Raw genomic sequence first — 23,629 nt, forward strand, 5'->3', positions numbered from 1 at the left:
CACAAGATTCTGTCACTTAAAACCACTGATTACTTTAATATGTTAAATGATACTTTGTTACTGTTTTAATTTACATTTATTAGGTTATAATTTCCCCACTTGTTTATTTACTCTCTCCTCTTAAAAGAAAAACCTGCTCACATCCTTTGTTCAGAATGGAATCGGTCTCAGCCATCTTCTAAACCATTTTAATTTCCGGGGAGGCTGGAGTATGAATGCCTGATTTAATCCTGGCCCCTCATTTGCAGCTTGAAACTCTGGGCAACTTGTCGAATCTTTCTATGTCTCAGTTTCCTCCTCAACACAAATAGCACTTTCTTTTTTTAACTAGAGTGCCTTCACTAAGCGTCGCAAGGACTCAGTCAGGTAATATGTATATCAAAAACTCTCCCAACATAGTAACTCCTCAGATTTGATTCTAATTATTACTTACAGTGCATATAACAGGTGACACAGAGACACTGGAAAATATATTAATGGTCCCCCTTTTTGTCTGCTTTCCCTGTTTTCACTGCACGTATTTCTAGTGGAATCTGTCCATTTTTCTCTCTTTATTTTTCCAACTGCTTCCACTTTGGAAAGTTTCCATCTCCCAGAGGAATCAGCAAATCCTATTTTTTGTTTTGATTTTTTTATATTTAACTCTTATCTATCTGTAGGGTTTTGGGGGAGGTGGGGGGTTAAATGTGAACAGTTTTCCTCACCCAAAACTGCTTACTACCCCATCTAAAGACTCTGTATTTGAGCCTTCTTTTCCCAAAAAATATTTTTAAAAATTTTGTTTACTCAAAAGCGCACATACAGTACCCATGGAATCACAATACCAGAATGTGGATATCTATTGGTCTTTCCTTTTAATTTCACAAATGAGATAAACCAGGGCTGGTGGAGAGATCTGCTTGGGATCCCAGGACCCACTGGCATTGCCTGGGGCAACTGTCCCATGGTATTCCACGGGGCCATCCTGGCAACCAGGTCAGTGCTCTCCCCACAGAACTGCACTCAGCCACCTACGAATCTAGTCAGGGCTAAACATCAACATCATGGAAGGAACACTCAGAATTCATGAGGAAAAGTTCAGTTTCAAAGAGGCTTTGCTCATGGCTTCAACCTGACAATTAAATTCAGCCAAGTCCTACCAAAGGTTAATGGAAAATGGGCAGACCCTCACACACCATATGGCTAAGCTGCAAATAAGAGTGAAAATGGGCATACAGCCCAAAGCGCTGCAGAAGAGGCCTGCTTACCTTGCCACAGTGAATGTGTCCATGGGCAGGTTCCGAGCTAGCTGGATGAAGATGTGATTGAGGGATGGACAGAAGCCGCACCACGGAGCGTAATAGAGCAGGAGAACGTCCTGTGGGAAAGGGAAGACAGATGTTACTTGCACCGGGAAATGGGCTCTTCTTCATTTCTTTCCTCATTGCTTAGAATCCAGCAAGCACCCGAAAAATGCTACCTATGCAAATATTACAGTGAAAATTTTCATCTTTAGGTCTTTCCAATACTGTGCTTTCTGGAGCACTTTTCTGAAATTTAAAAACCACATGTAATTCATTCACGGTCCATAATTGGGCCATCACGTGGTTACTCTTCTATACATCAAAAACAGCTGCTCACCCCAACAACTGTAGTTTGGAAATTATTTTAAGAGGGACAGATGGCTTAACTTTTGCCTCTCATGACTCCATACCTGTTTTTGAAGGACTACTTCCCAAAAGGTATCAGTTGTCACTTCAGTGATTAAATGCTGAGACGGGAACTGGGCAGAGCCACTTCCAATGAGATGCCTTTTCAAGGGACTATAGAGAACGCTGAAGTTTTGAATAAAAGACTCTAAAAATAAAGAGAAAATGAGATCAACTCTCCTCTAGATACAAAGAGAATAGCTGGCCTACTTTTAAACTCCACATTTTAAAAACTCAAATGACTTCATAGGCTCACATTTTTAACATTTCACCTATCAGCAAAACCCCAAACAAAGCTGCCCGGGTGGCATCAGGTTTAGCTCTGGTAGTATTAACTCAGCAGACAGTAATGTGGATAACAAAACACTATGCAATGTTAGATGCTCTAATATTCATAGACTATTCTTTTTTTAAAAGGACTGGTCCACAAATAGACACCAAGTGAGACTGTATAAATCATCAACAAGCCACCATCTTTTCAAGAAATTTCACCCTATAATACTAAGACCTTTAAGCTTAACCACAAATGTGACAACTGCACAAGCTACAGTAGTGTGGAATGTGTTTAAATGCTCATTAATTTGAGGACAAGGAGCTACAGTTTTTTGTTTCCTTTATTAAGGTTCTTTAAGTTTCTTTTTTTAAAGGTTAAGAAAAAATTATATGTAGTGGAAAAATACATAAAACCCATAATAATCAAAAACCTGATTTGAACCAACAGTTTTACCACAAATTCTGCCATCTTCAGAGTCCTTTGCTTCATCTGAAACAATACTAATTTGAATTTCACTTTTTTTTTTTTTTTTAAAGAGACAGGGTCTCACTCTGTTGCCCAGGCTGGAGTACAGTGCTGCAATCATAGCTCACTGTAGCCTTAAACTCCTGGGCTCAAGCGATCCTCCTACCTCAGCCTCCAGAGTAGCTGGGACTACAGGCGTCCACCATTGCACTCAGCTAAAGTTTCAGTTCTTTTTCTTTCTTCTAACTCCCTCCATTTTGAGGTGCAATGGGCAATGCAGCGTGCAGAATGGAAGAGGAAGTGAAGAATGTCATGTGAATACTAAAGAGAATTCATGATCAGCATCTGAGAAACACTTAGTTGGCTATGTTTTTGAAACATGAAACCAAGAATTATTTCCTAATCTGAATAAAGCCTAAATTCTGAAACTAGCCTAGAGACAGCTGATTTATGAGTTAAGTCTCTAAACCAACAATGACACACAGTAGGTGTTTTTTACAAGCTCCCTAAGAATTCTGTCACTAACTGCAGGACAAAGAACAGCTAGGCTAAACATTTCAGAGAAGATACAGAAGATGGAAAGAAATCTAAAGAAGGCTTCTTTCAATTACCCTTAAATTCAAAGTGAACACATTATGAGGTCATTAAACACTTGAGCATTACTGAATGGAATTCAGGAAAATCTAATACAGACTACCTCAAAAATACATGCTTGTAGGAACACTGACCCCATTTCTCTGGAGTCTCTTTCCCATTTAAAAAAAAAATGCTTGTTTCATTTTAAGAAAGCTCAACACATCAAAATGACTTTAGATAACATGAATTGGGAGTAATCTATAATATCGACAGATTTATGCCCTTCAAAAAGTGACTGGTCACAGGGTTCTTTTACACAGTGAGGAACTCTTGGATTTATAATATGTAACTTGATATAGAAAAATCAATATTTACATAAAGCCTTTTCACAAATGTGTCTAATGTAAGAAACAAGCTTCACCTAGATTTGAAAGAGGATGGCTAAAAAGACTCATATGTAGAAGCTCTGAGTCTACTGTTGAGTTCATACTTTAAAACTTGAAATGAAAGGTTTCCTTCCCTACCAAATTCCTCCTTTCTCCATTCGGCATACACTGACCCTCCCTCCCGTTTCCAATGAGGCTGAACTAACGTGGCTTTTGAATTCTCACTTCATTGTGTGTAGTCAAGGGCATCAGCAAATTCCTGGGAACAGGCCAGGGTGGGTCAGCCCAATGTTGCTGCCAAGTCCCAGGGGCAAGCTCTGGGTGCTTTCTCATCATGGAGCCTTACTCCTCAAAAAGTGGGTTTTGCTGGTTTGCGACTGACACTTATTTATTTGCACTTTACACTTGTTACAGTGTAGGTACCCCAGGTCCCAGCAATATTACTCAGTACATTATGAAACAGCAGCAGAACAAATTAGGTCTGGTGGCCTTGATCCTTAGACATTTAAGCCTATGAGACAAAAAGGGAGGCAAGGCGGCTCTACTTCCTTCTTCACTGCTCTCTTTTTTTGGAGACGGAGTCTTGCTCTGTCGCCCAGGCTGGAGTGCAGGGGCGCGATCTCTGCTCACTGCAAGCTCTGCCTCCCAGGTTCACGACATTCTCCTGCCTCAGCCTCCCGAGTAGCTGGGACTACAGGCGCCCGCCAACGCGCCCGGCTAATTTTTTTTTTTTTTGTATTTTTAGTAGAGACGGGGTTTCACCACATTAGCCAGGATAGTCTCGATCTCCTGACCTCGTGATCCACCCGCCTCGGCCTCCCAAAGTGCTGGGATTACAGGCGTGAGCCACTGCGCCCGGCCACTGCTTTCTCTTTAAGCTCCTTTAGAACAAAGCTGCTGTCAAGGCTCACTTTCATCAGCCCCTAGGACATCCCACCAGAATAGCTCTCCACCTCCCTGCCTGTTCTAGTCCCCAAGTCCCCACTGCCTGCAGCTGGTTCTACCTTAGACATGTGACAGAAATCGCCAATTTAGAAAGTGGGACTCTTACCCCCACCATGGGCTAAATGACAAACTTATCCAAAATTCAGAGTGAGGAAGTTTCTGTTCCATTTAATAGACAAAATTAGCTTCTTTGAAAATTATGACTGATGGTGGTCTAAAGACTTAAAATGAGCTACGAAGGTGACATCACCCCACAACTAAATGTAATGAGAGCCATCAATAAAATTTACCCATATGAAGTCAAGCAAAATGTACAATGCTTGGGGAAATAAACTGCCTGCAGTACCTAGGGTGAGCTTCATCAGTGCTTGCTTTGGATCCAAGATGTAATGAGATTCTTCTTTCACGTCAACAATTGCCGCAAATTCTTTCACCTGAGTGGAGCTCGGAGCACCCAGTCTCTCTGCATATAACCAAAACAAATTTGAATCCAAAAGGTAGATGTTGAGAGTCTTGTTGGTTCTGCAGCTCAGGCCTGTGAAGTTTGTGCTAGTCATGTCCACTTCTGGAAAGAGATACCTGTTCTCCTCAATGTGAGGAACGGAGCTTGGGGCATCAACCTCACATTTCTTCTCAAGGGAAGAAAATGCAACAGTAGGGGCTTCAAAGACACCTTGTTCAGAGTCGATGAAGCCTGACACACCCCTGCTTATGGTCCTGCAACATGCAGTGTAGTAGCTGAAGGGGCTATAGGAAGTTAAAAAATTGCTGCATTCTATGCTGTCTGATGCCACATGATAAAAGGTCTGCTCCTTGAGGTAGAAAGAATCCAGAGCTGCTGCCATTTCAAAAAAGCTGCACTGTGGCACGCTGACCGAGCTCGGCTTCATGCCCCCGGAGGTCTGGTTGACACAGAGTTCACAGACGTTGTGGGTCCTGGAGAAGGAGTGCCACTGGGGCAGCACCACAGTGTTGCAGCAGGGGGACGCTGTGATCGTTGGCGGGTCTGGCAGCTGTGCCGGCACTTCCAGGGCCAGGGACTCCAGCACTGGAGCATCCACCCGCCGCAGGTGCTGAAGGAGACGCTCCACCACCTGGTCCCCATGACAGTTGTTGTACTCCAAGGCCACTTCGGTGATCTGAAATACAGGGCAGAGTTGGTGAAGGGCTTGGGGATGACTGAGGGACTAGCACCCCGTTAGCCACGTTTCACTTTCTGTAATTTCAGTTATCCATGGTCAACTCCGGTTCAAAAATACTAAATGGAAAATTCCAGAAATAAACAAGTCGTAAGTTTTAAACTACATGTCGCTCTGAGTAGTGTGATGAAATTTTTGCCATTACAAAAACTGCGAGCCATCCCTTTGTCCAGCGTGTCCATGCTGTGGATGCTGCCAGCCTGTTACTTAGTAGCCAACGCAGTTATCAGATCAACTGTCTCAGTATCACAGTGCTTGTCTTCAAGTAACCCTTTATTTATTAGAAGGGCCCCCAAAGTGTAAGGATAGTGATGCTGGCAATTCAGATATGCCAAAGAGAAGCCAAAAATGCTTCCTTTAAGTGAAACGGCAAAAGTCTCAATAAGGAAAAAAAAAGAGGTAAGGATGTTAAGATCTTCGGTAAGAACGAATCTTCTACCCATGAAATTGTGAAGAAAAGTGAAATTCGTGTGTAGTATATACAGGGTTCAGTACCATCTGTGGTTTCAGGCATTCATTGGGGGTCTTGGAACGTATCACCAAGAATACGCAGCAGGGTAGATGAGAGTGCAGGGGGAGATGGTTACTATATTTTTAAAAATACAACCCCAGGCATGGCACTCCTGGGCCAAATGGTACGCTGCCCATGAGATAAAACCTCCACACAATCTGGCCCGTTTGGCTTTCCAGTCTCACCCTACCCTCTTCAGAACAGACCAGGCCCTCCTGCAATGCCACACCTTTACGGAGTCCTGGCTGGGGACACCGGCTCCTCCATCTGTTCCCAAGGCCCAGCACCAGGGCAGCTGCTTCAGGGAAGCTAGTCCTACTCCCACTCCAGGAAGAGCTAGTTTTTGCACCTCCAGTGTCCCTGAGACCCCTTCTACAGTCTCACAAGCTTCTGCTGAGACATCCCTCTTCCCCACAAACTTACAGAACCTCACAGGCAGAAGCCACATTGGATTTATCCTGCCATCCCCGGGGCCTAGCACAGGGCCAGGCACATAACAAATGCTCAGTAAACCCCTGATGAATGAGTGGCAGCTCAGGGTAATGCACACAATCCTCTGTCTTGGTGAGATTTGCCACTTTACCGTCAAGCCAGTATTGGCAATTTGAATTTATATTTTATTCTAAGATTCTTCCATTTCCAAAAAGAATATTTCGTTACCCACCTCCCATTCTGGTTTCCTGAGAAAGACATGTAAGTTATAATCCAAAGGCATTTACTCTCTAAAACAGAAGAGTCTGTCAACTTGAATCAAATCTCACCACAGTTAGTTACAGGGTGCTGTCACTCAGGATTTTGTTTCGCTGTGTGTGTGTGTGTGTCTGTGTGTCTGCATGTGTAAAACAATTCAATGAGTGTAATTTCCAATTTAAAAACACAAGTTTTATAAAAATAAAAATAAAAAAGTTTTATAACGTAATATTTATAGTTAATTCAAAACATACATATTTGTACACAAAAATAAATTGTTTCAATAGTTCTCGGCATAAAAAAAGTCACTTTATAACCCACCAGAAAACTACTGGGTCAAGAAAAGAAGTCACTTTAGATGATAGGCCAGTGCTTGAAATTTTATTTCCCCTGCACAAAAACATCTCAGTGGTTTTTGGATGAGGCTCTGACAGCATGCAGTACTAACAAGGTCAAGCCTATATAATCCGTGAAGAGCCCAGATGCCCTCTGGCCCCATCCTGGTACTGTTTTAGATTCAAAGACGCAGTAATAGACAACTACTCCCACCCACTCCCGCAAAAACCTCCATAAGACTTCACGATTTACTGTAATCTTTTACAGAAGTCCAAGTAGGAGATCATTAATTATATTATAGAGAAGAAAATTCCTTGAAAAATCTTTCTTCATCTCTTTTAGCTTCAGTATCTCATAAACAAAGCAGCCACGTAAAGAATATTTTTAATTGAAGAAAGTATTCTGTCTACAGCAATGCTTTTTTTTTTTTTTTTTTTTTTTTTTTTTGAGACAGAGTTTCACTCTTGTTGCCCAGGCCGGAGTACAATGGCATGATCTCAGCTCACTGCAACCTCCCACTTCCAGGTTCAAGCAATTCTCCTGCCTTAGCCTCCCAGGTAGCTGGGATTACAGGCATGCATCACGACACCCAGCCAATTTTTTCTATTTTTATTTCGCCTGGTTAATTTTTTGCATTTTTAGGAGAGACGAGATTTCACCATGTTGGCCAGGCTGGTCTCGAACTCCTGACCTCAGGTGATCCACCTGCCTCGGCCTCCCAGGGCTGTAATCCCACTGGGATTGTAAGCATGAGCCACCGCGCCCGACCAGCAATGCTTTTTTTTGAGACGGAGTTTTGCTCCAGTTGCACAGGCTAGAGGGCAGTGGCACCATCTTGACTCACTGCAACCTCTGCCTCCCAGGTTCAAGCGTTTCTCCTGCCTCAGCCTCCCAAGTAGCTGAGACTACAGGCGCACACCACCATGCCTGGCTAATTTTTATATTTTTAGTAGAGACGAGGTTTCACTATGTTGGCCAGGCTGGTCTTGAATTCCTGATCTCAGGTGATGTGATCCACCCTCCTCAGCCTCCCAAAGTGCTGGGATTACAGGCGTGAGCCACTGCGCCCAGCCAGCAATGCTCTTAAAGAGTTAGGCATTATCATTTTTCTCCTATGAAGGGGAATTTATGTTTCTATTCCTTTTACCTAACAGGCAGTTTTGAAAACACAACTCATGTCACATTCTGTGTATCACTTGATGTCATTTATTTCATGTGAATAATTAAGGAAATCTTGGCAAATAACTGTTCGCACAGTAGATGTTTCCTTCTATTTTCTTTAATCAGGGAAATCTGTGAGCCTGAACATGCTAACCACGCCTTTGCTTACCAGATTCAGACGATGTGAATGCCTCAAATAAACACCTTTAAAATAGGAAACAAGTCACGAAGACTCTTTGCTGGCTGAGGTAAGCATTTCCTTTGATTAACAAGTTGTGTAATACACACTGTGATGTCTTATAACCTCTCTAGAACTCTCTAGAGACACCAGGGTGTCAGTGGCCTCACGCCAGTGTCAGGATCTGTACTTTTGCATGTGTGTGTGGGTACACATGCAGGTATGCATGTGTGTAGAAGCAGCTACCCACTATGGGCTTGGTGCGGCCACCATATGGTCACTCCTGACTGGCATCCTACATGCACCACAGCACAACTGTCCAGAATGTTGGTGCTTGGTATGCCCCCAACTCTATTCCACTCACTCTAAGATGACCTCTCTCTTCTCAACAATGCAAGCATCCTCAAAGTTCTGCCCAATATTAGGCCTAAGGTGGTAATGAAAAAGTAAAGCCACCTAACTCTTTCGTGGTCAACAAGCTAATGAATTTACAGCTCATCTTGCGTAAGTACAGCGTTCATCCTTCCCACCTTACCCAAAGGCTTCTTCATCTCTAGTCACTGTGTCACAGTTTCCCCGATCATAGACCCTACTTTCCACCCTCCACCTCTACCACCCAAGTTCAGGTTCTTACTACTTCGCAGTTTTCTGGAACCCTCCTGCCAGAAAAACGTTCGTAATGATAACGCACAGCCCTGGCTGCATCTCTTCACTGTCAGTAAGACTTGTATGGGCCAGGTGCAGTGGCTCATGCCTGTAATCCCAACACTTTAGGAGGCCAAGGAAGACCGATCGCTTGAGCCCAGGGCTTTTGAAACCTGCCTGGGTAACATGGCGAAACCCCATCTCTACAGAAAAATACAAAAATTAGCCAGGCGTAGAGGCGTGCACCTGTAGTCCCAGCTACTTGGGAGGCTGAGGTGGGAGGATCACCCGAGCTCAGGAGGCAGTGAGCCGAGATCATGCCACTGTACTCCAACCTGGGCAACAAAGGAAGACCCTAACTCAAAAAAAAAAAAAAGAGAAGACAAAGACTTGGATGACTATGGTTAATCTTGAAATCCTCAGAGAAGTCCACAAGGCCCTCTCCTCCAAAGGCTTTTTCAAGATCTCTCCCCAGTTAGCCCTTCCTGCAGACCACAAAACCCGGCCTCCTTCCTAACACCTAAACCTGCAGCAACTCCCGTCCCTCATGTCTCTGCTCAGGGTCCTCCTTCCCGTAAGTTTTTCTCAACCCATCAAGATCCTGGCTGCCCCTACAAGTCCGTCTCGAATACTTCACCCATCCAAAGCCTCTGCTAACTCCTCCCCTGCCCGGAACCCCGCTTTCTGAGATGGCACCCTCCCTCCTCTGGTTCCTCCTGACCCTGGGCCTGATCGTCCTCTACTTTGAATTATAGGCAGGCTTTCACTCCCTGTACTGGACAAGCCTCTAAGACCACAGGACAAGATGGTGTCGCATCTATCCTTTCTCCCCTGGAGCTTCCCAGCACAGTGCTCAGTAAACATTTGCCAAACTGACCTGAAACAAAAAGGGAAATGTGCTGGACAGGCACTTTGCTTGTCTGAGTAATTCATAATACGGTGAGATGCCACCTCGTGTTCGGTCATCTCACCCACATGCTGAAGTTAAGGGAACGCACTCACCTCACAGAGACAATGGGAGCCCCAAAGAAAGGAGTCACAGGCAAAACCATGATAAAAAGGAGGCCTGTTGGTAGGTGGAGGATTTGCAGACTGCTGGAGGGGACACTCATTCAGAAACAACAGGCGAGAAAGAGTCTTCCCACCAGGTGCCTAAATCCAACCACAACCCTCTGGGCAGAGGCTGTGGGCTCCTGCCACAAAATACAACCCAGCCAGGACCCTGACACACCCAAACCAGACAGGAGAGAACTCTCCAAATCCACAACCACAGCCACACCACCTTGACCGAAAACCTTCCTTTCCTACAATGAGCTTTAAGGCTCTTAATATTAGATACAGTAAAGGCCTAGTCATTTGAAATGGTGCCTCAGTTCACAAAATATCCATGTAGTGAAAATTTTCTAAAGAAATAGTTTTATTACTTTGAGTCCTCCCTAATTAGAGGGGAAGAAACAAAGCTATTTCATTTCTCTCCTCTTTCTTCCTCTAAACCAAAGAGCAGCATTCATTCAGAATACTCCCCAGAGGGAATCATAACTTGAGCAAAAAGACTCCAGCACAGCAAAGGGAGGGATCCACCTGGGCGAGAAGTCCTGCCTCCCTGTCCCTCCAGGCAGGAGGCCAGGCCAGCGCTGAGGGGCTCAGGTCTGCTTAGCTGGCCAGTGGTACACTGGCTGTCTGAAATTGGTTTTGGCCAATTAAGGGATCCTTGAGGGAGTGAAAAAATAAAAACCTCAGTAAATGCAATTTTGCCACCCCAGGCTCGCTCTGCATACTGTGCCTGCTGTCTCTCCAGGCTCGCTCTGCAAAATGTGCCTGCTGTCTCTGAGCGCCTCCAAATGCTCCGTGTGGAAAATAAACTCACGCCCAGAGCAGGCGCACCAGATGAAGCCGAAGACAGGCAGGAACAGCAGGCTCCGATGGCGCTGCCTCTGAAAACCACTCTGGCTTCTGCACGACAGGGAAGGTTCAGAGAAACAAGGTGTCCCAACATCGCTGCTGCTGCTCGCTCTCCTCTGCTGTCCTGAGGATGGCCAGGGCTGGCAGTCTGGCCAAACCCCCAAGACAATGGCATCTCCTAGGCCACACTAAACTCGGCCTGTGTTCCTGCCACTCCCTGTTTCACCCCCTAAACAGGAAGCTCAACAGCAGCCACATCAGAAGAGGGCATTTGGTCCTTCTCTAGAAGGGCACGGTGTGGCTTCCCTGCCTCTTCCCACTCACTCCAGACACCAACAGCTGTCAATAAATATGGCCAGAGAGGCTGCGGCAGTCCCTGTCCTAGACACGGGCTCTCTCCTGCCCATATGGAGGGGCAAAGAGCAATGCTCAGAGCCACAGCTGCCCCTCGTGGCAGCCATTAGCTGCCAGAGTAAATGACTGAGTGTGGGATGAGAGGAGCCAGGTAGATGAGGCTTTCCTACTCCTCATGAGGTGCTTTTCACATCACAGCTCTTACCTCGTCTATTAAAGGATGACTTTCGGCCAGGGGATTAAAAGGTATGAACAGAAACAGCGCTGGTCCTTTCTTCAGCTCGTTATTCAGCAGGAGACTCTTGCCTCCGTGTGGCCGCAGCCACCGAAAGAGCGTCTCCTGGTTTTCTAAGGCCCACTTACAGATGTTCTCAGCTGTGTAGTTCAGGACCTCCCTGGGGAAGACCTGTGAAGGACAAAGGCACAGAGGATAAAGGAGAGCTCGTGAGGTGGGGCAAGCTCAAGGCACATCAGTGCTGTTCCAACCCCACCACTAAGGGTGAGAAAACCCAGGCGTGGAGCGGGGCCTGGCCCCACTGTGCAGCTAACACCCGCTTCTCCAGAGACAGCATTTCCTCACAAGTGGTTGAAAAAACAAAAGTGGTTGCAGGAGGTGACTTCCATATCGTGTGATTCATCTTTCTGCCTTGAGACAGACCCACCTATCAACAAATAATTCTCCCTGCCAGCTGGTGGCGATAACAACCTCTATCACCCTGTCCAAGGACAGGTATTAAACGTCACTGGGTATTCATAAAAGGACCAAGACATATCTAAGGGAACAGAAACTACAGAGTCAAGGATCATTTAGATTTTGACCTTGGTCCTTCAAATGCTGCCCCCAAGGGCAGCATGGAGCCTCCGTGCGGCACAGGCTGTCTGTTCTGCTCACCTGTATCCTCCGGGCCTAGACGAACACCAGGCACACAGCAGGAACTCAACACATGTCTTCAGCAATCAAAAATGACCTAAACTTGCACAAGGCCACGGATCATATTTTACGTGTACGAATAAATGAAAGAGACACCTAGATTTTTTGCTTTGTTTTGCTATAAACAACCAATGTATGTGAACATAAAATTATTTTTGAAATTCTAACAATTTAAATCACTGGCTTCAAACAGAACTACCAAAGGGGTGCTTCAGAGGGTTCTGAAAAATGAGATATTTAAAACTCCTCAAAACGAAGATTTAAATTGACTCATAACAGAGACTAACCACTGCTTGTGTTTTTAAAAATAATGGTATCCCAGTATTATTTCATTTGATAAAAGGAATTCTACTGCTACACAAACCAACCAACCTTAATCACTACCAAATCGAAGCAGAAACCTGATATATTTTTCCATCTCATAGTCCTACCTTTCTTTCCCCATCTACTTTTAATTTCTTTCTCAGTACCCTTTACTATAAATAAATATATGTAGGCTGTGTAACATGCTAAAAATGAAGGATGTAGGAAAATGACAGATAGCAAAAGCAGATGATGTCAAAGCAGCTTAGGCAGAGGCACAAGGAGCGTAGGTGGGCAGCAGAGAAACAACCACAGCAGTGATTGTCAAGGTGGGACGATGGGAGTTTGAAAAACCATACTCAAACTACACTCAAACATTTCCATTCGGAAAACACAAAAATACATTTGACTTTTGGAATATAAACTGCAAGAAGTAAAGCACAGCATCTGGGCTACGAGAGATATGCAGAAGCCAGGGCGACTGGCAAGCAAGGGGGCACCCCTGGAGTGGGCCCAACAGCCCCTCCGAAGGCACAAGACTTAGACATTGTGCCAAGGGGGGCGCAGGTTTTAAAGGCTGGGTACACTGGGTGCAGGGAAATTGATCTGTATATGACCTGTAAGTTACTGACAGTGATGCGAGAGAGACAGAATACTTCAGGAAAGTCAACTCAGTGATGTGACTTAGGAAGCAGCAACAGAGTAGACGCATAGGACTGAGCAGGACACAGGTCAATGCTCAGAAGCAGCTGAGTTCAGGCTGCTCCACAGAAAGCAAATGAAATCGGGGAACAAAGGCGACAATGGAAAACTGACGCTCTCTGGGATGAGAAGCCATCAACTTCTCACTGTGACTTGACAAGAACTTCAAAAATCCATTACATCAGCTAAGGAGAAAAGCATGTCACATTACTACTCATCATAAAAGAAACAGATAAACACAGAACATCACTCAGTGGAAGCCTAGCTTCTGAAAACACGGGCTCAGAGTAACAATTCTTCAAGAGAGTAACTCTGCAATTTTATCCAAGAAGAAAAACTTTAAAGTCTGTACCAAAATCTAAGAATACAAATAAAGAATTTCTATACATTAATTTCAAGAGCCCTCTAATGCATGGGTTCTTAACCTGGAGCCTGGGCTCTAGGGTGGGGCTGTAAGAACTCTCCATCCATATATAAAATCATATGCGCTTTTCTAGAGAGTGTCCATAGATTTTAACCAATTCTCAAAGGAGTCTGTGACCTAAACAAGGTTAAGAACCACTGCGCTAACATAAACGTGATTTCAAAATACTTACAAGTGATGTGTTGAAATGTCTATGTAAATACACACTTCCAGAGTGTACTAAGGATACCAGTTTCGCAAGATGTTTATTTGTGATAACCCCAAATCGTACTGTTCCTAGGTAATCTGAAACAGAAAATTTTCCTTTATTAAAGAAAAGGCCTGTGCCTTAAAACAACCACAAAACCCAGTGATCAAGTCTTGAAGCACAAACCCCTGCAGCTAAGCTCCTTCTGGTAACCTAGCCTAGAGAGGGAAGGAAGAGGCGCTGAGGAACCTCTCCTCCTGAAACCGACCTCGGCCCCTCAGATGTCAAGCCTGCTTCTGAGAGGATGTCTCTGACTAACGTCTCTGACAATCACTTGTGCTGAGGAGTCCCCTGTGTCCACCTATGATGGTCTGACCTGTCCCCATTGATGACAGGCTGAGGCACATGCTGTTCTCTTTGTCTGGACACTTCTTGTGGCTGGTTCCTTGTCATTACTCATCTCAGCTCCTACTTTCTGTGAGAAGCCTTCCTTGACCACCCCACCTAACAGCTAATATTTAGGGGAGAGAGTTTACAAAGGGAAACTGGGCTCCTGACCCATTCAGGTACTCCCTTTACCAATTACCCTATTTTTTATAGCACTTATTAACATTTGCATAATCTCATTCATTTATTTAGATTTCCTTTGGCCCAATGTCCTCTTTTTTTTTTTTTTTTTTTTTTTTTTGAGATGGAGTCTCGCTCTGTGGCCCAGGTTGGAGTGCAGTGGTGCGATATCGGCTCACTACAACCTCCGTCTCATGGGCTCAAGCAATTCTCCTGCTTCAGCCTCCCAAGTAGCTGCAATTACAGGCGTGTGCCACCACACCCAGCTAATTTTTGTATTTTTAGTAGAGACGGGGTTTCACCATGTTGGCCAGGGCAGTCTCGAACTCCTGACCTCAAGTGATGTGCCTGCCTCTGCCTCCCAAAGTGCCAGAATTACAGGTGTGAGCCACCACACTCGGCCCAATTTCCTCTTCTGACTGTAATTTCTGTGAAATTAGAGACTTTGTTTCATGCTAGTATCCCAGCACCTACAGAAGTGCCGGGGTGTATAGTTAAGAGGTCAAAAAATATTTATTAAATGAACAAATCTAGCATATATAAAGACTTATACAAATCAACAAGGAAAATTGTTAACATGGACAAACCACAGAAAAGGAAATATGTATACATGGCTAATAATTACTGGAAATAAACTCAACCTCACTATCCCAAAAGGAAGCAAATTAAAACAAAAGACTACTTTTGACCCTCAAATTGCCAAGAATTTAAGACAAAGGAAACATCAAGTATTGATGAAAGTAAAGAAATGAGTATTTGATGTGATGCTGGTGGAAAAAGGCAAAACGGCACAGCCACTCAGGAAAGCAGCTGCTGTACCGACTACAAGAATGGACACAGCTGGGATTTCCACTGCTAAGCATCCACATGTTTGTTAGGAGTCACATGCAAGGATATTCACCAAGAAACATTCTGCAAATGTTAAAAACAATGAGGCAGGACTATACACCACAAACAGAGGCTGAAAGAGTAGACTTTTGATGTTAACAAAAAAAAAAAAAGAACTCACACTTATAAAAGTTATGTGTGTGTATGTGTGTGTGTGTATGTATGTATGTGTATATATATATATATATATATGTTTTTTCCCCTACAGGCACATATGTTTAGAAATGTATAAAGAATCTAAAAGGATAATGAAAGTGGTTTGATGTTGGAGAACGAACATCAACAGGGACCTTATCCTTATGTGTGAAGCTTTCATTTTTTTTCATGGAGTATAATATTTGTGTGATTATAAAGTATTTAGTGTTAAAGGAGGGTGAATAAGATACTGCAGAAAAAGGTACATTCTTTCCTATCCCCTTTTTGCTTTATTAGCACATGCTAAATAAAACATCAGTTAAACTACAGGCCAGGCGCAGGGGCTCATGCTCTTAATCCTAGCACTTTGGGAGGCCGAGGTGGGTGGATTGCCTGAGCTCAGAAGTTCAAGACCAGCCTGGCCAACATGGTGAAACCCTGTCTCTACTAAAAATATAAAAATTATCCGGGTGTGTTGTGGTGGGCACCTGTAATCCCAGCTACTTGGGAGGCTGAGGCATGAGAATCACTTGAACCCAGGAGGCAGAGGTTGCCGCGAGCTGAGATCCCAAGATCGTGCCACTGCACTCTAGCCTGGGCAACAGAGTGAGACTCTGCCTCCAAAGTAAATAAATAAATTTTTTTTTAAAAAACAGTTAAACATCAAATATTACCAAATTATACACAAGTAGCTAAGATATAAAAATATTGAGGTGTTAAACCCATAAAGTTTCCAGTTTTATCCCATGACCCCATCTTTCAGTGGTGTGGTCCTCTCTCCCTCAGGTAAGGAGTGGCCGACAAGGATGAGGTCGGAGTGAGTATGTCCCTACTGCCAGAGTCAATAATTTTTCATACAAATCTGATGAGTGTAAAATGGCACAAAACAAAAGAAATACAGGACAAATAAGCCAGGCTGGGGAAAGGGGACTGGAAACGGGAAGGCAGGGCTGAGGAGGCCTGGCACTGAGTAGGCCTTTTTGTATCTGACTCCTAGGGCCACAGTGATGTATCACACACCCTTCACACACTCCAAAATTAAACAATTAGTTAAAACCAAGCGAGATGTGGCAAACCCAACGTGGAATACAGCACGTACAAATAACCCTAACTATTGCAAACGGGTAACACCATGGTGAATGGGACAGGAAGAAAGAACCTAAGTAACTGGAAAACAGTATCTTGACTGGATGCTGTAAAACTAAAGGCAAAAAGAACTGTACATAAATGCTGTAAATCTAGGTAGTAAATGTGTTTCTTAAAGAGGTATAAGTTAGCAATTCTGAAACTATGAACTTATTTACTTCTTTGTGGTAAGTACATTATACATAATTACAGCCAGGACTCTCACTGTTGCAGTAAGAAGTTATATATTAATAAGAGAAGGCTAAAATAAACCCTGTGATGTTAAATTGAAATCAGAGAGAATGAGTATAAACTTAAGGCTTTTGATACACACACACACACACACACACACACACACACACAGAGGGAGAGAGAGGGGATGGATAGAGAAATACAGATATATGCACATGTGTGGGTATAATACACTTCCTAGTTCTATCTACTGAGAAGACCTAGAAGTAATGACATCCTAATACCAAAGAGCATACCTAGCACGTAGATCTTGGTTTCTAAATGCCATTCTCCAGTAAAAGAAACCAGGGCCCTTGGAGAAGAGGTTGATTCCAGAGCTGGGGTGAAGAAAGTACAAGATAAGCCTGAAATATCTTGTATCAGAAGTAAAGAAGTGGGCTGGGCATGGTGGCTCACGCCTGTAATCCCAGCACTTTGGGAGGCCAAGGCGGGTGGATCACCTGAGGTCATGAGTTTGAGACCAGCCTGGCCAACATAGTGAAACCCCATCTCTACTAAAAATACAAGAATTAGCCGGATGTGGTGGCACGCACCTGTAATTCCAGCTATCTGGGAGGCTGAGGCAGCAGAATTGCTTGAACCCGGGAGGTGCAGGTTGCAGTGAGCCGAGATTTTGCCATTGCACTCCAGCCTGGGTGACAAGAGTGAAACTCCGTCTCAAAAAAAATAAATGAAGTAAAGAAGTGCTCATAAAAGGATGGGGGTTTGTCCAAAGGACCCAGGAGCCAAGCTGAAGCCCTCCTAGTAGCCAAAGTTGGAACAATTTGAGCAACAAAATAAACAATGACAGTACACAGAATAAGATAAATACCCATGACTCCATAATAATATTAATGAGAACAGTCAGCTCTTCTTTAAGGGAGAATTCCACTAATAATGAAAAAAGAATGAAAGAAACAGAAAATAACCATTTGAACACCAGAGTAATTGTTGCAGGCAAGATCCACTGATGGAGGCTAAAATTCATGAGCAGAAGTTTGAGGATATATTTACATAGTGTCAAATGATCTTCCCCCAAGGTATTTATTTATTAATTACAAAGGAAGAGATAGTAACTTTTCAGTGGAGAAACACAGCAGACACTACTTTAACCAACTGATCAAAGTTAATGTCACCAGTAGGAGACACACTGACATCATATGAACCCCCTGATAAGAAGTGCTGAGAAGTACCTATTTCTATGGTATTGCTGTCAAAAGACATGACCTATTCCAGTCACAAGAAAACAGACAAAATTGAGCAATTTTCTACAAAATACCTGAGAAATATTCTTCAGAAGTGTCAAGGTTATAAAGGACAAGGAAAGACAGAGGATTTGTCATAGGTTGAAGGAAACTGAGAAAAAAACCAACACATTGCGATATGGGATCCCAGACTGGATCCTGAAACAAAAACAGACACTAGTGGAAACATGGAGACAATTCAAATGAGGTCTGCAGTTTAGTGAATAGGACCGAACCAATGTTAACTTCTTTTTCTTTCTTTTTTTTTTTTGAGACAGATTCTTGTTCTGTCGCCCAGGCTGGAGTACAGTGGTGCATCTCGGCTCACTGCAACCTTAAGTGATTCTCCTGCCTCAGCCTCCCGAGTAGCTGGGATTATAGGCATGCACCCCCATGTCCAGCTAATTTTTCTGTATTTTTAGTAGAGACAAGGTTTCACCATGTTGGCCAGGATGATCTCGAACTCCTAACCTCAAGTGATCCACCTGGCCTCAGCCTCCCAAAGTGCTGAGATTACAGGTGTGAGCCACCACACCCAACTCTAACATTGACTTCTTAGTTTGTACAAAACCACCTAACAATTGGTTATGTAAGATGTTAACAATGGGGGAAACTGGCTAAAGACAGGCAATTATGGAACTCTCTGTTTTATTTTTGCAACTTTTCTCTAAGTATAGAATTAGTTGAAGATTTTTAAAAACTTTGTTTAAAGGGCATGGCATATAAGTCCAGATCCCAAAGCTGTCAGAAGAAACAGACCAAAGAGAGGACGTGATTTAGTAGGACCAAAACACCACTCTCCAGAAGCAGCTGATCTTGGAGGACAGTCACAGTTAAAAGAAGAGAAGGAAAAGCAGCCAGTAAGGAAATTCATTTGATAGCCTGCCAAAGTCACCATCGTGATTTATTAGAGCAGAGAAATAAGAAGTGACAGCCTGACCCAAAAGTTAAAAGGGGCCATTCAAAAACCTGTTTAACTGCCTTAATAAGAATGGACAGTCTGCCCATACAGAACAAATTCTAACATGCTCAAACATATTATAATTTCAAAACTTTATTTTTCACACATAACAGAAATGTACAAAAAACACGCTTCTATTTAAGTTCTAGCATATGGTGGAAATCTTGCTAGAAGCAGCAGCTTAAATTTGCAGTCTCACGTGAACAAAGAATACTTAGATTAGCAGAGGAAGTTTATAGCGTAAAGATGACACAAAAAACCAGCATGTCACATCTCCTTATCCAGAGTGTTTTCTGATAAGCAGAGCTCCAGGGCTTTCTACGACAGAAGTCTTAGTCATTTATAAAATGAATTATTTTGTCCTAAAAGTAATGAATTTTCAATATTTTAATTAAGAACTTGGAATTTGTTGGACAATTAAAAATAAACTAAGACTCATACTCTCCCCTCCTCTACTCAAAAAGGTCTAAAAACTGCAGTATCCCATTCGATTAAAAAAAAAATTCTCCATTAGCCTGGTAATTGGCCAGTTCAAGATCTCTGTTAACCATACAGTGACAACTGGTGTCAATGATCACTGCAAGATGTAATGAAATCTTGAAGGAACATCTGGGTAAAGAATTAGTTACTAACCAGTTTCCACAGCTGCTCATGCAGGTGGCTAAGAAGGTCAAGGTGACCACAGCCAGCATGTCTCTTGGCGCCACTCACCCCTCAGGGAGGGAGGGTGCTCCTTGGCTGCTTGCTACAGAGGGTGCTGAGCCCTGGGCCCTGTGATCGTCGGCTACAAGGCTGTGCACACAGGCACCATCTAGACCCATCACAGCACATCTCCCATGGGCATGGGCTGGGGAACCAGCACTATTATGCTGATGCTAATATTGTTTGCTGTGCTTTGAGCAGAAATGGTCTTGTGCTTTGACTCATGAAATCTTGCCTACTTTTGGCAGGCAGGCAGGTTTACTCCTGGTCATCTCTTGTGAGTGTGGGATTCTTCTCTGCCCCTAACAGAATGTTCTTCTCTTGCTTCCCACACCCTCCCCAAGTATAGCTTTGGCTGCCCTTCTTGTGCCTCCCGTGCACCGCTGTCACCATTCACCTCATGACAGCTACCAAGGGTTCCTGAAAGACCTGAAACTCCATCTGGTTTCCACTCACATTCATCTGGCTCACTATCCTCTAGTTTGGATAAAAGCTTTTTGGTTTTGGACAACGTTTTAATATATGACTACAGCTGACCCTTGAACAACATGGGTTTGAACTGCGTGGGTCCACTTACATGCATATTTTTTTTAACGAAACACAGATCCAAAATACAGTATTTGCAGAATTTAAAACCCACCTATATGGAGAGCCAATTTTCATACAGGCAGGCTCTGAAGGGCCAACTGTGGGACTTGAGTATGCAAATTCTGGTATATTTGGGGATCCTAGAACTAATCCCCAATCTATACCAAGGGAAAACTGTATTTTAGTTTAGTATCATATGACTTAAATTTAATTTTAAATATTAAAATGTCAGTTTAGGGCTGGATGCGGTGGCTCACACCTGTAACCCCAGCACTTTGGGAGGCCAAGGTGGGTGGATCACCTGAGGTCAGGAGTTCGAGACCAGCCTGGCCAACCTGGTGAAACCCCATCTCTACTAAAAATTAGCCAGGCTTAGTGGCAGGCGCCTGTAGTCCCAGCTATTTGGGAGGCTGAGGCAGGAGAATCACTTAAATGTGGGAGGTGAAAAAAAAAAAAACTCCATGATTTTTATACTGATTATATGTTGAAATAATTTGGATACACTGGGTTAAATATTAATTTCACCTGTTTCTTTTATTTTTCCCAATTTTTTTTTTTAAAGACAGAGTCTCACTTTGTCACCCAGCCTGCAGTAAAGTGGCCCAATCTTGGCTCACTGCAACCGCCACCTCCCAGGTTCAAGCGATTCTCCTGCCTCAGCCTCCTGAGTAGCTAGGATTGCAGGCGTGCACCACCATGCCCAGCTAATTTTTATATTTTTAGTACAGACAGAGTTTCACCATGTTGGCCAGGCTGGTCTCGAACTCCTGACCTCAAGTGATCTGCCTGCCTCAGCCTCCCAAAGTGTTGGGATTACAGACCTGAGCCACCGCACCCAGCCTCACCTGCTTCTTTTTAATTTTTAGTGTAGCTACTAGAAAAGTTTAAATTAGGCTGGGTATGGTAGCTCACATCTATAATCTCAACAGTTTTGAGAGGCTGAGGCAGGAGGATCACTTGAGGCCAGGAGGTCAAGACCAGCCTGGGCAAGAGAGTGAGACCCTAGCTCTAAAAAAATTTTTAAAAATTCGCTGAGCGTGATGATGTAAGCCTATAGTCCTAGCTACTTGGGAGGCTGATGCAGGAGGAATGCTTGAGCCCAGGAGGTCAAGGCCGCAGTGAGCTATAATTGCACCACTGCACTCCAGCCTGGACAACAATATGAGATCCTGTCTCAAAAAACAAACTTAAAAAAAGAAAATTTTAAATTAGCTATGTGGTTCATATTGTATTTCCATTAGATTATGCCAGAGTGGTAATGATGAAAAAGCAAGATTCATTTATCTCAGGAAGACAATTAGCCTGAGATGATAAATCCAGCAGCCAGCAAGTCTTAATAATTGGCACTTATCTGGTAAGATCACATGAGACAATGTTTCTTGAATTTTTTTCATGAAAATCCATCCAACAGCAAAGAATAATTATCTTTAAGAACGTGTCCCCTTTTCTTCAAAAAGGAAAAAGTGGGGCTCTAGACCTATGACTCTAGCCTGAGCTTCTGAAATTAATTCTCTCTCAGAGGCCTATAGTAAATAGCACTTGGTGTACTACAAAGTACCCAAGGATACACTGAAAGAACAGAGAGAAACTCCAGGTCTGAACAATGTGGAATTCCTTACATTAGGGAAGGTCATCTGCTATCATGGAGACTTCTGCATGAGCTCATCTCTAAGGCATCATGGAACAAAATGGAATATCGGGTCAAGAAAAATGCTTATAAAGGTAACTGCTAACAAACCAACATATGCTTCAAAACAAAATACCACTGGATTAAGTCACATGGCATTTAATCATCATGGATAAGAAGTCATTTACTCCATGGGGAAATTCTTCTCATTTCTTTAAACTGAAAATAGTGGTATACCAAAAGGCAAACCTGTATCATAGTACCTTCCATCTGTTGGGAAACAATTCTCATTTTAGTCTGTTAATTTTAACTTCTACTTTCCCACTCTTCTTTCCAAAGTCAGAAAAAGGAGAAAAATAGGATTATTTTAAAAAGGGATTAAAACAACCCCTCTAATTTTAATATTTACATAGTGATTCACTTTTCAAGTTCTTCATAACCATTTCCTGGTGATGTTATATATTTCCAATAAAGTGTCCATTAAAATGAAAAAACCTTCGAAGAAATGTAACATTACAGAAATGCTTGTTTTCAATGTATAAACTATCATTACTTGCATTTTCCCCCTAGAAATGAGACAGTGAAATGTGCATAGTTTCAAACTTCTTAATATAAAGCACAAAGCAATTATTTAGAAAAAAAATCTGGCATTTGGACATCACAGATACATTGTGGTGTTTGCCAAGATATTACTAAACTAACATGTAACTTATAAGCTGTGATTCTTTTTTTTTTGAGACAGAGTCTCGCACTGTCGCCCAGGCCTGGAGCGCAATGGCGTGATCTCAGCTCACTGCAACCTCTGCCTCCCAGGTTCAAGTAATTCTCCTGCCTCAGCCTCCCGAGTAGCTGAGATTACACCACCACCATGCGTAGCTAATTTTTTGTATTTTTTTTTTTTTTTTTTTTTTTTTTTTTGAGACGGAGTCTCGCTCTGTTGCCCAGGCTGGAGTGCAGTGGCGCGATCTCGGCTCACTGCAAGCTCCGCCTCCCGGGTTCACGCCATTCTCCTGCCTCAGCCTCCCGAGTAGCTGGGACTACAGGCGCCCGCTACCATGCCCGGCTAATTTTTTTGTATTTTTAGTAGAGACGGGGTTTCACCATGTTAGCCAGGATGGTCTCGATCTCCTGACCTCGTGATCCGCCCGCCTCGGCCTCCCAAAGTGCTGGGATTACAGGCGTGAGCCACCGCGCCTGGCAGCTGTGATTCTTTCTGTATGTGAGCTAGGTAGGAAGGAAAGAGAAATGTAGTTCCAAGTACATGATTTTAGGAGAAAATAAACTGTAGTACTAAATACGCATTGTTACATATACTTAACCTGACAGTAAAATAAACACCCTCACACCAATTGTTCTCATTTAGTAAGTCTAAAGCACCATATTAAAATGATCAATTCAGGCCAGGCACAGTGGCTCACACCACCACGGTGAAACCCCGTCTCTACTAGAAGTACAAACATTAGACAGACGTGGTGGCACATGCCTGTAATCCCAGCTACTCGGGAGGCTGAGGCAGGAGAACCGCTTGAACCCAGGAGGCAGAGACTGCAGCGAGCCAAGATCACACCACTGCACTCTAGACTCAGTGACAGAGCAAGACTCCATCTCAAAAGAAAAAATAAAATGATCAATTGAAAAACTTCCCTTGTATGCACTTCAATTAATTTTTTTTTTTTTTGGTAGCCCTCAGGGGAAGGAAGGACT

General features: G+C 43.3%; 1 protein-coding gene across 12 annotated transcripts in view; it reads right to left on the bottom strand.

Moving 5' to 3' along the window:
* The window catches only part of TXNDC11 (thioredoxin domain containing 11), a 63,775-nt gene that overhangs the window by 7,527 nt on the left and 32,619 nt on the right, over positions 1-23,629 (bottom strand). For 5 of the 12 annotated variants that reach the window (NM_001324022.2, NM_015914.7, XM_011522515.3 and 2 more), the window contains 5 exons: positions 13,843-13,955; positions 11,516-11,716; positions 4,681-5,473; positions 1,694-1,836; positions 1,248-1,357 (listed from right to left, as the gene is read on the bottom strand). In NM_001324022.2, coding sequence (NP_001310951.1) covers positions 1,248-1,357; positions 1,694-1,836; positions 4,681-5,473; positions 11,516-11,716; positions 13,843-13,955 — 1,360 coding nt within the window. Of the gene's footprint in view, positions 1-1,247; positions 1,358-1,693; positions 1,837-4,680; positions 5,474-11,515; positions 11,717-13,842; positions 13,956-17,060; positions 17,142-23,629 lie in introns of all 12 variants that reach the window. The other 7 variants (NR_136673.2, NR_136671.2, NM_001324025.2 and 4 more) reach the window with 4 other exon arrangements.

Source organism: Homo sapiens, chromosome 16, assembly GCF_000001405.40.
Source record: "Homo sapiens chromosome 16, GRCh38.p14 Primary Assembly".
In the NCBI taxonomy this organism is placed as follows: domain Eukaryota; kingdom Metazoa; phylum Chordata; class Mammalia; order Primates; family Hominidae; genus Homo; species Homo sapiens.